At 38.2% G+C, this 14,709-nt stretch overlaps 1 protein-coding gene across 1 annotated transcript in view, besides 1 other annotated feature; it reads right to left on the bottom strand.

Annotated features, from left to right (window-relative positions):
• The window catches only part of EDN1 (endothelin 1), a 66,679-nt gene that overhangs the window by 17,038 nt on the left and 34,932 nt on the right, over window positions 1–14,709 (bottom strand). The window lies entirely within an intron of this gene.
• Window positions 4,860–4,979: a silencer, noted in NCBI's record as "silent region_16922". NCBI's record gives its function as "represses an Ori minimal core promoter by ATAC-STARR-seq in GM12878 lymphoblastoid cells {active_cell/tissue: GM12878}" and the evidence as "EXISTENCE:reporter gene assay evidence [ECO:0000049][PMID:35858748]".

The raw sequence follows: 14,709 nt of genomic DNA, 5'->3' as shown, positions 1-14,709 counted from the left end.
TTTCCTTTCTCTTATTTTGTCACAGAGCTAGTTTTTCACAGATAAATTAAAGCCATGTTTACATCTGAACTTGATTATATTCCCCTCCTTACATTATTTATGTATTTTTTTTTAAAAAGCAACTCTAATAAAACTTCTCCCTGTAGTTATACAGATCTCTAGTTATCTTTTTTCTTCTTCATCAAAATTGCTTTTGATTTGATTGCTTATAGTTATACTTTTGGTTTCAATTTTTAGCTTCCCATTCTTCTTGAACACTTTCCCTTTCAACAATCTCTGAAGGTTTCCACTTAATTTTTACTGCACATTTTGTAATCTACTTTTGGTAATCTCTAGTATCTGTTTGCCTTCATGCTGGATTTTCCTTTTTGGACTGTTGAAAGGAATGATAAGCCACAGTTTCATTTAAGGTTCTGATCATTTTCATTTCACCAGATAGTTTTTTTCCTATTCAGTTCAAATTTTCCTAGTGGCATCTTTCTGCAAAATGAATGTGCAAGGAGGCACAGGTCCTTGCGGGACAAGAGCATGCAAAATGGTTAATAAAAAAAGATCTGTCCTCAGACACCCTGACTTAGCAAAATTTATCCTAAACCAACCCTGATCGCTCTCTGACCTCTGACCGCATCCTGCCAGCTTCCCATGTGTTTCAGAGCTAGCTCCAGCTCCTGTCTTGGCTGAGACTTTCCTTTATCATCCATCTCAACACTTCATCTTCTGGCTCCCAGCTCATCTTCCCTACAGACCCAGCCCTCACACCAGCTATCTAGCGTGGAGTTTTCTGGTTAGCCTTAGGAGTGGGTAAATTTCCTAATTTTCCCATCTCTTTTCCAGGGTCCTTGTGTCAGGGACATACCTCCCCTCTCTGCCTCTGCTACCTGTATATTGTGGGAAAAAGAACACTGGACTTACAATCAAATAGGATTTACACTAGTAAATAAAAAAATACACAATTCCTATCTCCTTAGATCTTTAAGGTAGTGGAAGAGACTGCCAAACAAGTAAACAAAGAAATAAATAAAAATTGACAAGTTATGCTCAGGGCTATCCAAGCAGGTTTTATGACTACAGTGATTTTATGATGACTAAATTGGGAGTCCAGCTGCAAAAAGCACTGCCAGAGAAAGTTGGAGGAGGGGAGATGAAAATATAAATTCAGGAAAGAAGGTAGTATTCTTTCAAAAAATAAGCCAAGTGCTAAACTTCATAAAGGACTCAAGTATTTGAGATAGGCTTTTTTTGTTTGTTTGTTTTGTTTTTTTTACGGAATCTCGCTCTGTCACCCAGGCTGGAGTGCAGTGGCATGATCTCGGCTCACTGCAGCCTCCGCCTCCAGGGTTCAAGCAATTCTCATGACTCAGCCTCCCAAGTAGCTGGAATTACAGGTGCGCACCACCACGCCCAGCTAATTTTTGTATTTTTAGTTCAGACGGGGTTTCACCATGTTGACCAGGCTGGTCAGGTCTCGAACTCCTGACCTCAAGTGATCTGCCCGCCTCGGCCTCCGAAAGTGCTGGGATTACAGGTATGAGCCACCATGCCTGGCCCAAGCTGGCTTTTGCAAGAGATTTTTAAATGTAGGATTTGAATGAATGCGACATGTATGGTATGTGTGGCATATATGAGAATGATATATATGGCTCAGACTAAGAAGAAAGAGTGGCCAGACATTAGAGGTTAAAGACCCTCAAGGACCCTCAGGATGGGTCCCAGCAGTGTTATTGTGAGGACAGAAACCAATAGGATTATATCGCGTCTTCTGAAGCTGATACAGTTCAATAAAAGGAAAGGAAATTACTGGCTATCTAGTGGCTTGAGGAAGGCAGAGATCTCTGAGAACTGATGAGGTTTGGTGAATTTTAATCTGGGAAGAATATTCAATAAGCTTATCTTAACAGTTATTGTAAATAATAAGGGTTTCCAATAGACTTTCTGAAGGTTCACTATGAGAATGAATTTTTGGGGGATAATTGGGGTTTTCTGCTTCTCTTCCTAGATACTTTTTAGCTAATTCTTACTAAAGAGAAAAGAAGAGCTATAATTCAAAGCAAGTAATTTTCTTACTCAATAAATGTTCCAGTAAACGATTTCTTAGAGAAGAAATTAAATTTACAACCAGCATTTTAAGAAGGAGATAATATGATCTTTAATTCATAACCAAGTCCCACTCCTGCATTCTTCATCAATCCAGATTATCGAGTCCAAAAATAAAAACCACAGGCTTGTCCTACAAATGATGCCTTAATCCCAAAGGGGTTCTGGAGCCATGGGAAGAACACAAGGCTTCCAGCAAATCTCAGGGCTTCCAGCAAATCTCAGGTCTACCATTCCCCAGGTTCCATTTCCTTATCCAGAATAAGCAGGCGGTAGTCCCGCCCTGGAGGCCCTTGATGTCTATCACGCCATTGTCTTCCAGGGTCTCCAACCTCTTGTACTGGTCCAACTCAGTCCTCTTTCACAGGCTGACTCCTGACATATTGTAATATACGACTCTTCCTCTGCCGATTCCTGAAACACTGGAATTTCCCAGAGATTCGCCCTTGGCCCTTTCCTCATCCAACAGATACCTCCTGAGTAATTCTATCCATTGTTTTCGTCTGCAAGACCTTTATGAACTGACGACTCCCAAATCTATTTCTTACTAATTGTGTAACCTTGGGCAAGCTACTTATCCTTTCTGTTTCCATTTCCTCATGTGCAAAATGTGAAAAGAGTAGTACTTACATCACGCATTATTGTTAAGTATGAAATGAGCTCAGATATGTGAGGCGACATAGAACAGTACCTGGTGCGTAGTTGGTGCTCAATAAATGTTCACTATTGTTTTATCACTGTCCTCCTAGTTGCCCAAGCCAGAAATTCTCAAGACATCCTTGACGCTTGTGTCTCTTCAACCCTTCCTTCCCAATCTTATCAATTCTATCTCCTAGTAGCATTTCCACTCATTGGATTGCTCAAACAACCTCATGCTTGGTTTCCAGCCTCTAGTGTCATTTTCTCCTTAATCCATTCATCATATTGCAAGACAGTTAACTTAAGTCAGTTAATTTCATAACACACTAGATTTTCCAAAAAAATGCTTCATGGGAAGAGAATTAGACCAACAACCAGCATAATAATCAGGTGATCCTGTGAATGTCTGTTTACAGCAAAGTCCCTGTTCCTCCTTTCTTATCATTCTGAAGAAGCAAATGTCCAAAAAAAGCAAACAAAAATAATCATATGTCTATATTCAAAATGTTAACAGATTTATATTTATCAATGCAAAACTAATTCTATTTCTCCCCCACTTTAAATCCTTGACCCATTAACCACAGCCATCAAAATGAATCTGAACTCTTCAAAATGGCCCTGCCTCCCAGGCATTGGTGTTTGAGCAGGAGCCTTGAACTTGTCCAGCTCTGCCTCTGGGAGCTTGGCATGTTTTTCCCTCTGCCTGTAGTGAAGCTGTCCCTATGCTTCTGGACTGGCGTTTGAAGACTCAAGGTGAATGTCTCCTCCCTGGGGAAGTCTTCCCTAAACCCCTCCAACGTACATATTTATGAAGCCTTGTCTGGCTAAGACAAAATAAGGGTGCCTCTCCTAAGTCCTCCTGCACCATAACTCGGTACAAACGTCTTGCATAACACTTATTACACCCAATTAAAATCACCAGTTGTTCACCTGCCTCACCTTTCAGATTGTAAATTCCTTGGCGTAAAGGAATGTACTTTTTTCATCTTTGTTTTCCCAGCTTTTGCACAGTAACTTACTTTTAGAAGGTACTCAGTAAAACTTATTTTTAAGTACAGATTGAATTCATAGCATACGTGGAGTTCCCAGCACAGTGCTTGCACTAACAGTCACATCGTTCCTTTCTCTTTCTGCTACTGGAAAATGCCATCTGGATGGAAGTCCCCTTCCTAGAAATTTCCCTGAAACTACCAACATCTTTGGGTAAATAATAAAACTCCTTGTGTGTTAGGATTCTTTTTTTTTTTTTTTTTTTTTTTTTTGAGATGGAGTCTTGCTCTGTCACCCAGGCTGGAGTGCAGTGGCGCGACCTCGGCTCACTGCAACCTCTGCCTCCCGGGCTCACGCCATTCTCCTGCCTCAGCCTCCCGAGTAGCTGGGACTACAGGCACCCACCACCACGCCCAGCTGATATTTTGTATTTTTAGTAGAGACAGGGTTTCACCATGTCAGCCAGGATGGTCTCGATCTCCTGACCTTGTGATCCACCCACCTTGGCCTCCCAAAGTGCTGGGATTACAGGCGTGAGCCACCATGCCCGGCACGATTCTTATTTTTTAACTTATGTACAAATACAAATGGGCATGCATGCATCCACACACACACACACACACACACACACGGTGCCCCCAAACACACAAACCAAGTCCTCTCGCTCAAAGAGTGAGTCTGCAATCTAGCCAGCTAATTAAGAAGGGAGACACGGGTGCAAGGCCTCTACCCATAAAATGTCCCCTACAACTTTTAAAAATACCATTTCTTTAACCTGAAATTGTTTGCCCCAGATCTTGTTAAGAAGAAAGTGAGAAACGTTACATTTATAAAATATATATAATATAAACATTACATGAAATCTATTACAAATATTATATAAATATCTAAAAATGGTTATCATCTTCATGGTCAAGTCCAAAGGTTGGGGAAAAATTAAATTTTGGTTACAATAGAGAGAAAATAAACAACTACAGATCTGCTGGGTCAAGTAAAAGGTGTCTATTTTAATGAGGATTTTGTAACAAAAGAAATATGTGTAACCAGGCCAAGCCTCTCCCTTCAAGAATTCAGGCAAAGATTCTATCACATCCCTCTCCTGCCTCCTGAGTGACAAGTAGCTTCAGAGCCAAAAATGACTCATCAAGACAGTACTTTCTGTCTGTCCATGTGACACAAGGAAGCATGTCTATGAGGGAAGAGCCCCAAGCGGCCAACTGAGGGCTCTGAGGCCTGACAGCCCATTTATGAGCCAGAGTCCTGAGGGACCCCCGTGGGTACCATTAGAAGTGCTCTTGGGTTAGAAGTGTTTTGAGGTTGCATAATGTCTTGGTATATCAGTAAACATTGAAATCTGGAAGGAAATCCACTAGTAACCTATCTAGTTCATATCAGGGGTCTTTGGGGGAAAAGAAGGAAGGAAGGAAGGGAGGGAGGGAGGGAGGGAGGGAAGGAAGGAGCAAGGAAGGAAGGAAGGAAGGAAGGAAGGAAGGAGAAGGAAGAAATAATTCAAAAAGCTTTCTAGCAGCCAGTACCCAGTCCTCTCAGCAAAGAACCAGAATTGTTCCTTAAATCCAAGGTAGACAAGAAAACATTCTTGAGAGTGAAGTTAGAAGGCTTGGGCTGAATCCCACATCTGACACTTGCTAGCTATTTGTCCTCGGACAGTTAGCTCTGATCTCAGCTTCCACATTGGACCAATGGGACGTCTGACTAGCTCTGACAAAAATTGAGTGAGACAGATCTGAAAGCACCAGACAGTGTATGTCAAAGTAGGTGTGTAGATGATTCTAATTTATTCTGAAAATATTTATGGAGAGCCTATTACAGACCAGGTAGTGTTCTAGATGCTGGCAATACAGTTAGTTGTAAACAATACAGTCCCTATTCTCATATTCTAATTGGGGGAGAAACATATCTAAAAATTTGAGCTGAGATAAATAAAAGTTTTAAAAATAAATGGCCACTTTTTCCATCAGGGAGGTATGTGCTATTACTGAGGACTTTCCATGATATAGTAAATATGCCTAATATGTTTTGATGGCATCACAGGGCTCTGCACTAATATTCAACCAATTTACTCTTAGAATTGATCTCTGTCTATTGCACTCTCTGCCAGAAAGTGAAATAGCATTTTATTAGCAAGGTCTTAAGTTGCTAATTGCCTTATGCTTTTCTAAATTGTAGTACTTATCTACATCAAAATAAAATCCATTAGAATTAGTTATATCTCCTACTCAAGTTTTAGCTGGCCTAGTAAATTCCATGGTGGGTAGTGTACATATTTAAAAATCACTGGGCAAAGGACAATTTGTTTAGTCACAGTGATAATTCACCAGATACCTGCTCTGCTCTGAAGAGAAGGTTTTTTAAAATAAGAATGAAGACCAAGTGAAGATAACAGATGAAATTTCTTCCAGATGACGTGGAAGCCAAGTACAATATATGGGTAAGAAAATAATCCACCCTCTATTTAGCACCCCCAGGCCCATTAGTGTTATTTCTTAACAGAGACTGCTGTTTTATTGTATGACCTCCTCAAATGTCCCATTAAGGTCAATGGCTCTATTTGTGCTTCTATATTGTACGCTGGAAGACTTTCTACACAGTTCTAATTCTCCAGTATCTCTGAAAGGAAAGGCACTTACTGAAACTCAAAGACAGTGCCAGAGTCTCACTTGAATTGTATGAGTCCACTAAAGCCTTTCCTATGGTCAGATGAATTGGGGTGCTAGCTCACACTTCAGACATCTGTGGATTCCTGAACTACTGTTAGGACTAGGAACTTTGCAGGTAAACCATAACTGAAAAAAAAAAAAAAAAAAAAAAGTCCTGCCTACAATTCTAGTGCATCTCTCATCAGTGTTTAAATATATCCTTTTAAAAGGAAAAAAAAATTGCTGAATTTGGTATTGTCTTAAATTTTCTTTACTGTTATAGCTCTTGAATATATGTAAATCATCCAAATGATTTAGAGTATATATACAAATACATTCATTGCCTTATTAAAATTTTTAAGTTCTGAGAGAGACACTGTGCATCTCTCCCTTTGCCCTTCCTCCCTATCACTGAGAAAAGACCACATTTCAGAAAAATTATCCTATCCTAGCCATAATACCTACCTGCGGTTCCATGAATGAGTCATGCTCTCCCATCTCACAAACTTTCCACGGGCCTGAAATGCATTTCCACACATCTCTTTGCTGGCCTAGCCCCCACTCTCTATCAGGACTTGGATTGGATGTCACCTTTCCTGGGGAGGCCTCCTCTGACCCCCTTTCCCTTAGCACCGGGCAAGAGGTCCCTCCTCTGTGCTCCCAGTGCACACCATGGGTTCCCACCTTAGCACCTGCAAGTCTGTAGAGTCGTCACAATTTACTTAGTGCTCATCACTGGGCTGGGAGATTTTGGAGAAGAGGGACTGTGTCTTTCCTGCCTAGATCCCCATTAGATCAGTGACAGCAGTTCCAGGACATTGATTAACACCTGGAATAGCACCAGTCCCATGTGTTCTTCCCTCCTGCTCTGCTCTAAACACTTTCCCTGTTATCCCAAACTCTTTCTGTCCACACCTGACATTCCATTTTGAGTTTTTGGAGTATCTTCTCCACTTCTTTTCTCTTTCAAGGCTATCTTTGACACACATATTCCTTAAAGAGTATGACTCAGCTGGGCGCAGTGGCCCATGCCTATAATCCTAGCATTTTGGGAGGCCGAGGCGGGTGGATCACCGGAGGTCAGGAGTTCAAGGCCAGCTTGGCCAACATGGTGAAACCCCATCTCAACTAAAAATACAAAAAAAAAAAAAATTAGCTGGGCATAGTGGCGCATGCCTGCAATCCCAGCTACTCCGGAGGCTGAGGTAGGAGAATTGCTTGAATGAAGGAGGTGCAGGTTGCAGTGAACCAAGATCACACCTTTGCACTCCAGCCTGGGCGACAAGAGAGAAACTCTGTCTCAAAAAAAAAAAAAAAAAAAAAAGAGTATGACTCAATAATTATTATGTAAACTTATTTTGCATGTATGTAAGTGTGAGAAGAAGTCGCATAATTAATTTTTCCTCACTCCAGCTCTTCCTATGGTCTCTTTATTTTCCTAACCAAAGCTCAAATTCCAGCTTCTCTGCCTCATCACACCACTCCTCACCCTATATCTGAAACAATGAGTTAAAAAGGTAGCCCTGGTTTCTGTGTTCTCTTCTAATACTAGTGAATTATCTAGAAAAAAAATTTTATCAAGCAGTGACCAGTCTCTGAGTCACTGAAAAAGAAAGAGAGGATTCCCTTAACCTTACATTATGGTAGCCTTACACCATCTCAACTGTATTTTTTATGTAGACTTTTGTTTCTGTTCTCCAACTATGTATTGTCCTGCATTTCTCCAACTTCACCTTCTTCTCTCTTTCTAGCTTAGTCATTTATGACATTCTTAAAAAAAAGTTTTTGGATTTGGGGGCTTTTTGAGAAAAATATCAAGTCACATACACAAGAATTTCTATTAGACTATTAGCAGATTTCTCAAAAGAAACCTTACAAGCCAGAAGAAAATGAGATAATACATTCAAAGTGTCATTACAATGTCATGTATAATATTATGCTCAGGAAAGCTATCTTCAGAAATGAAGGAGAAATACATTTTTTCTCAGACAAGCAAAAGCTGAGGGAATTCATCACCGCTAGACCAGCCTTACAAAAAATGTTTAAGGAAGTATTCCAATTGGAAGCAAAAGGACAATAATTACTATCATAAAACATATGAAAGTCTAATCTCACTGGTAGAGGTAAATTTATTATCACATTCAAAATACTTCATTACCATAATGTTGGTACATAATCTTTCATATCTCTACTGTGAAGTTAAAAAGTCAACATGGTCGATGATAAGTCTAGCTACAATAAGTTGTTAGGGAACACACAATATAAAAAGATGTAAATTAAGCAGCAAAATTAAAAATTTTAGAAGGGATAGTAAAAGTCTAGAATATTTGTATGCAACCAAAGTTTATTATTATCAGCTAAAAATAGTCTATTATAACTATACAATATTTTATGTAAGCCCCAGAATAACTGCAAAGAAAAATATTACTGCAGATACACAAATGAGAAAGAGAAAGAAATCAAAGTTTATTACTACAGAAAATCACCCAAACATAAATGTAGCCATAAGAGAGGAAGAAAGAGACAGAAGATAAACAAAACAACCGGAAAACAATTAATAAAATAGCAGGAGTAAGTCTTTACATATCAATAATAATCTTGAATGTAAATGGATTAAATTTCATAATTAAAGTATATAAAGTGGCTAAATAGAGTTTAAAAAAAAAACAAGTATGTGTTGCCTGTGAGAGACTTACTTAACCTGTAAGAACATACATAAACTGAAAGTGAAAGGATGGAAGCTCATATTCCATGCAAAGAGAAACCAAAAGAGAGCAGGAGTAGTACATATGACAATTGTAAATATATGTGAAACTAGCAGTTGAGCACCCAAATGCGTAAAGCAAATATTATTAGATCTAAAGGGAGGGAGAGACCTCAATACAATGATAGTAGAGGACTTCAACACCCTGCTTTCAGCAATGGACAGATCATCCAGACAGAAAATCAACAAAGAAACATCATATTTAAACTGCACTCTAAACCAAATGTACCTAACAGTCATTACGGAACATTCCACCCAACCGCTACAGAATACACATTCTTCGCAACAGCACATGAAACCTTCTCAGGATAGATCATATGTTAGGCCACAAGCCAAGTGTCAAAAAAAATTTTTAAATCAAAATTATGTCAAGTAACTTTTCAGACCACAGTGGAAGAAAATTAGAAATCAGTAACAGGAGAAATTTTGGAAAACATACAAATATATAGAAATTAAACATGCTCCAGAAAGACCAATGGGTCAATAAAGAAATTAAAAAGGAAATTTAAAAATAATTTAATACAAATGAAAATGGAAATACAATATACCAAAACCTATGGGATACAGCAAAAACAATTCTAAGAGGGAAGTATATAGCAATTAACATCTATATGAACAAAATAGAAAAATCTCAGATAAAAACCTAACATTGTACCTCAAGAAACTAGAAAAACAAGAACAAACCAAAGCCAAAATTGGTAGAAGGGAATAAATAATAAGGATCAGAGCAACAATAAACAAAATAGAGAAAAAAATTAAAAAGATCAACATAACCAATAATTGTTCTTCTGAAAAGATAAACAAAATCAACCAATCTTTAGCCAGACTAACTATGAAATAAAGATAAAAGCCAAATACATAAAGTCAGCAGTGAAAAAAGAGACATTAGAACTGATCCTAGAAATACAAAGGATCATAAGTGACTTTTATGAAAAGCTAAATCTAGAAGAAATGGTTAAGTTTCTAGGTACATATGCTACCAAAATTGAATTATGAAGAAACAGAAAACAGAGCAGAACAATAATAAATAACAAGATTAAATCAATAATAAAACATCTCCCATCAAAGAAAAGCCCCGGACCAAGTGGCTTCACTGCTGTATTATACCAAACATTTTTTTTAAATGAACATCAATTCTTTTCAAATTACTCCAAAAAATTGAAAAGGAGGTAATTCTTCCAAATTAATTTTATAAAGCCAGCATTACCCAGATACTAACACCAGAGAAGAACATAACCAAAAAAAGAAACTACAGGCCAATCTCCCTGATGAACATGGATGCAAAAAAAAGTTAACAAAATACTAGCAAGCTGAATTCAACAGCACATTAAAAAGATCACTTATCATGATTATGTGAGATTTATTTCATGGACTCAAGGATGGTTCAGCATACCTAAATCAATAAACATTATAGAATCAAGGACAAAAACCATATAATCATTTCAATTGATGCAGAAAAAGCATTTGATGAAATTCAACATCTCATCATAATAAAAACTCTCAACAAATAGAAATAACAGACCTCAACACAATAAAGGCCATATATGACAAACCCACAGTTAAATCATGCTAAAGGAGGAAAAGTTTAAAGCTCTTCTCTAAGATCTGGAAAACGACAAAGATGCCCACTTTCGGCACTTTCATTAAAAACAGTAATGGAAGTCCTGGCAAGTACAATTAGGCAAGAGAAAGAAAGGTCATTCAAATTGAAAAAGAGGAAGTCAAACTGTGTCTGTCTGCAAATGATATGAACTTGCATATAGAAAAACCTAAAGACTCTATCCAAAAAACTTTTAGAACTGATAAACTAATTCATTTAAGTTTCAGGATGCAAAATTCAACATGCAAAAATCAGTAGCATTTCTATAAAACTATAAAGAACTCCCTAAAAAAGAAAGAAAGGAAGCAATCTCATTTATGCTAGCTACAAAAATTAAGATACCCAGCAATAAATTTAACCAGGGAAGTGAAAACTCTTTACAATAAAACCTGTAAAATATTGATGATAGGAATTGAAGAGGACACAAATAAATGGAAAGCGGTCTCATGTTCGTGGATTGGAAGAATTAATATTGTTAAAATGTCCATACTACTCAAAGTCATCTATAGATTCAATACAATCCCTATCAAAATACCAATGATATTTTTCACAAAATTATATTTCACAGGAATAGAAAAAGTTGATCCTAAAATTCATATGAAACCAGAAAAGGCTCCAAATAGCCAAAGCAATTTTGAGCAAAAAGAATAAAGCTGGAGGCATCACACTACCTGACTTCAAAATGTACTACAAGTCTATAGTAACCAAAACAGCATGGTACTGGCATAAAAATAGACACATAGACCAATGGAACAGGATAGAGGATACAGAAATAAATCCACACATTTACAGCCAACTAATTTTTGACAAAGGTGCCAAGAACACATATTGAGGAAAGGACAATCTCTTCAACAAATGGTGCCAGGAAAACTGGATATCCACATACAGAAAAGTAAAACTAGACCTCTATCTCTCATCATTACAAATATTAACTCAAAATGGATTAAATACTTAAATGTAAGACCTAAAAAGATAAATCTACTAGAAGAAAACATAGGGAAAACATTTTGTGATATTTGTCTGGGCAAGGATTTTTCAGACCTCAAAAGCATAGGCAACAAAAGAAAAAGTAGTTAAATGGGATTATTCTGCATCTAGAATGGTTAATCCTTTCCAGAAGGCTTTCCATTCACTTTGCCCAGATCCATCAGAGGAATCGCTGTCTATGGAAGCTATGGCATTATAAAATGAGTTTCTTAAATTATAAGGCTTGAAAGTCAAAATTACTCCTTGATCCATGGGCTACAGAATGGATGTTGTGTTAGCAGGTAGGAAAACATTAATCTCTTTGTACATCCTCATCAGAACTCTTGGGTAACCAGGTACATTGTCAATGAGTAGTAGTATTTTGAAAGCCATTTAAAAAAAATAGGTCTAAACGGTGAGCTTAAAATATTCAGTAAATAATGCTGTAAATAGATGTACTGTCATCCAGGCTTTGTTGTTCCATTTATGTGGCACAAGAAGAGCAGCTTTTAGCATAATTCTTAAAGGCCCTAGGATTTTTGGAATGGTAAATAGGCATTGGCTTCAACATAAAGTTACCAGCTGCATTTGTCTCTGACAAGAGTGTCAACCTGTCCTTTGAAGCTTTGAAGCCAGGCATTGACTTCTCTCTAGTATGAAAGTCCTAGATAGCATCTTCTTCCAATAGAAGGCTGTTTTATCTACAGTGAAGATCTGTTGTTTAGTGCAACCACCTTCCCCAATGATCTTAAGTAGATCTCTGGATAATTTGCTGTAGCTTCTACATTAACGCTTGCTGCTTCACCTTGCACTTTTATGTTATGGAGATAGCTTCTTTCCTTAAACCTCATGAACCAACCTCTGCTAGTGTCAAACTTGTCTTCTGCAGCTTCCTCACCTCTCTCAGCCTTCATAGAATCGAATAGTTAGGGCCTTGCTCTGGATTAGATTTTGGCTTAAGGAAATGCTGTGCCTGGTTTGTTCTTCTACCCAGACTACTAAAACTTTCTCCATATCAACAATCTGGCATTTTGCTTTCTTATAATTCATGTGCTAACTTGAGTTTCTTAAATTATAAGGCTTGAAAGTCAAAATTACTCCTTGATCCATGGGCTACAGGGACCTTTAAACCATAGCAATTATAATAGTAACATCAAAGATCACTGATCACAGGTCACCATAACAGAATAATAATAATTATAAAGTTTGAAATGCTGGAAGAATTACCAAAATGTGACACAGAGATAAGAAGTGAGCACTTCTGTTGGAAAAATGGTGCCAATAGACTTGCTCAATGCAAGGTTGCTACAAACCTTCAACTTATAAAAAATACAATATCTGCGAAGGGCAATAAAGGAGAGCACAATAAAATGAGGTATACCTGCATGTACAATTATGCATTAATTCAAAACAACATTTTAACAATATATTGCTGGATTTGGTGTTGTCCTAAATTCTTCTTTACTATAATCACTCCTGAATATATGCAAATCATCCAGGTGATTCATGGTACACACATATTAATTGCATTAACAAAAAAGAATTTTTAAGTTCTGAGAGAGACACTATACATCTCTCCCTTTGCCCTTCTTCCCTACCACTGAGAAAAGACCGCATTTCAGAAAAATTCTACTCCAGCCATAATACCTTCCTGTGGTTTGACGAATGAGTCATGCTCTCCCATCTCACAAACTTTCTGCAGGCCTGAAATGCATTTCCACACATCTCTTTGCTGGCCTAGCCCCCACTCTCAATCAGGACTCTGCTTAGTTGTCACCTTTCCTGGGGAGGTCTCCTCTGACCCCCTTCCCTTAGCACCAGGCAAGAGGTCCCTCCTCTGTGCTCCCAGTGCACACCATGGGTTCCCACCTTAGCACTTGCAAGTCTGTAGAGTCGTCACAATTTACTTAGTGCTCATCACTGGGCTGGGAGATTTTGGAGAAGAGGGACTGTGTCTTTCCTGCCTGGATCCCCATTAGATCAGTAAGAGCAGTTCCAGGGCATTGATTAGCACCTGGAATAGCACCGGTCCCACTGTGTTCTTCCCTCCTGCTCTGCTCTAAACCCTTTCCCTGTTATCTCAAACTCTTTTTGCCCACACCTGACATTCCATTTTGAGTTTCTGGAGTATCTTCTCCACTTCTTTTCTCTTTCAAGGCTATCTTTGACACATATTCCTTAAAAGGTATGACTCAATCATTATTAGCTCCTCTTTCTTCCTTGATGTTTGTTCTAAACTTATTTTGCATGTATCAAAGTGTGAGACAAAATCACGTAATTAATTTTTCCCCACCCAAGCAATTCCTATGGTCTCCTCAGTTACCTAACCAAGGCTCAAATTCCAGCTTCTATGCCTCATCACATCTTCCCCCACACTGGCTTATCTCTGAAACAATGACTTAAGAGGGTGGCCCTGGTTTCTGTGTCCTCTTCTAATACTAGTGACTTCTCTAGGGAGAAACTTTGTCAAGCAGTGACCAGTCTCTGAGTCATTGGGAAATAAGGGAAGGGTTCCCTCAACTTAACCAGGGTAGCCTTGCACCATCGCAACTGTAGACTTTTTCATGTATACTTTTGTTTCTGTTCCCCATTCATGTATGTTCTGCATTTCTCCAAATTTATTTTCTCCTCTCTCCCTAAATAAGTCATTTAGGACTGGTAAAAAATGAGTTACTACCATGGGACTAAACAACACATATAACTAAGACATCATTGTTATTTGAAGGGAAAGTAAAACAAAATGGATCGTGTGTGAGTTTATTAGGGCTGCCGTAACAAATAATTACAGACTGGGTGTCTTCAACAACAGAGTGTACTTTCTTACAATTCTAGAGCATAGAAGCCCAGGATCAAGATGCCAGCAGGGTTATTTTTCTGAAGTCTCCTTCCTTAGCTTGTAGAAGGCCACCAACTCCCTCTATCTTCACAGGGGCAACCCTCTGTGCATGCACATGTCTGGTGTCTTTCTGTCTGTGTCATAAACTCCTCTTATTATGAGG

This window comes from Homo sapiens, chromosome 6 (genome assembly GCF_000001405.40).
Source record: "Homo sapiens chromosome 6, GRCh38.p14 Primary Assembly".
Lineage (NCBI taxonomy): Eukaryota > Metazoa > Chordata > Mammalia > Primates > Hominidae > Homo > Homo sapiens.
The sequence above is the reverse complement of the archived record's forward strand: the minus strand, read 5'-3'. Positions and strand labels throughout refer to the sequence as shown.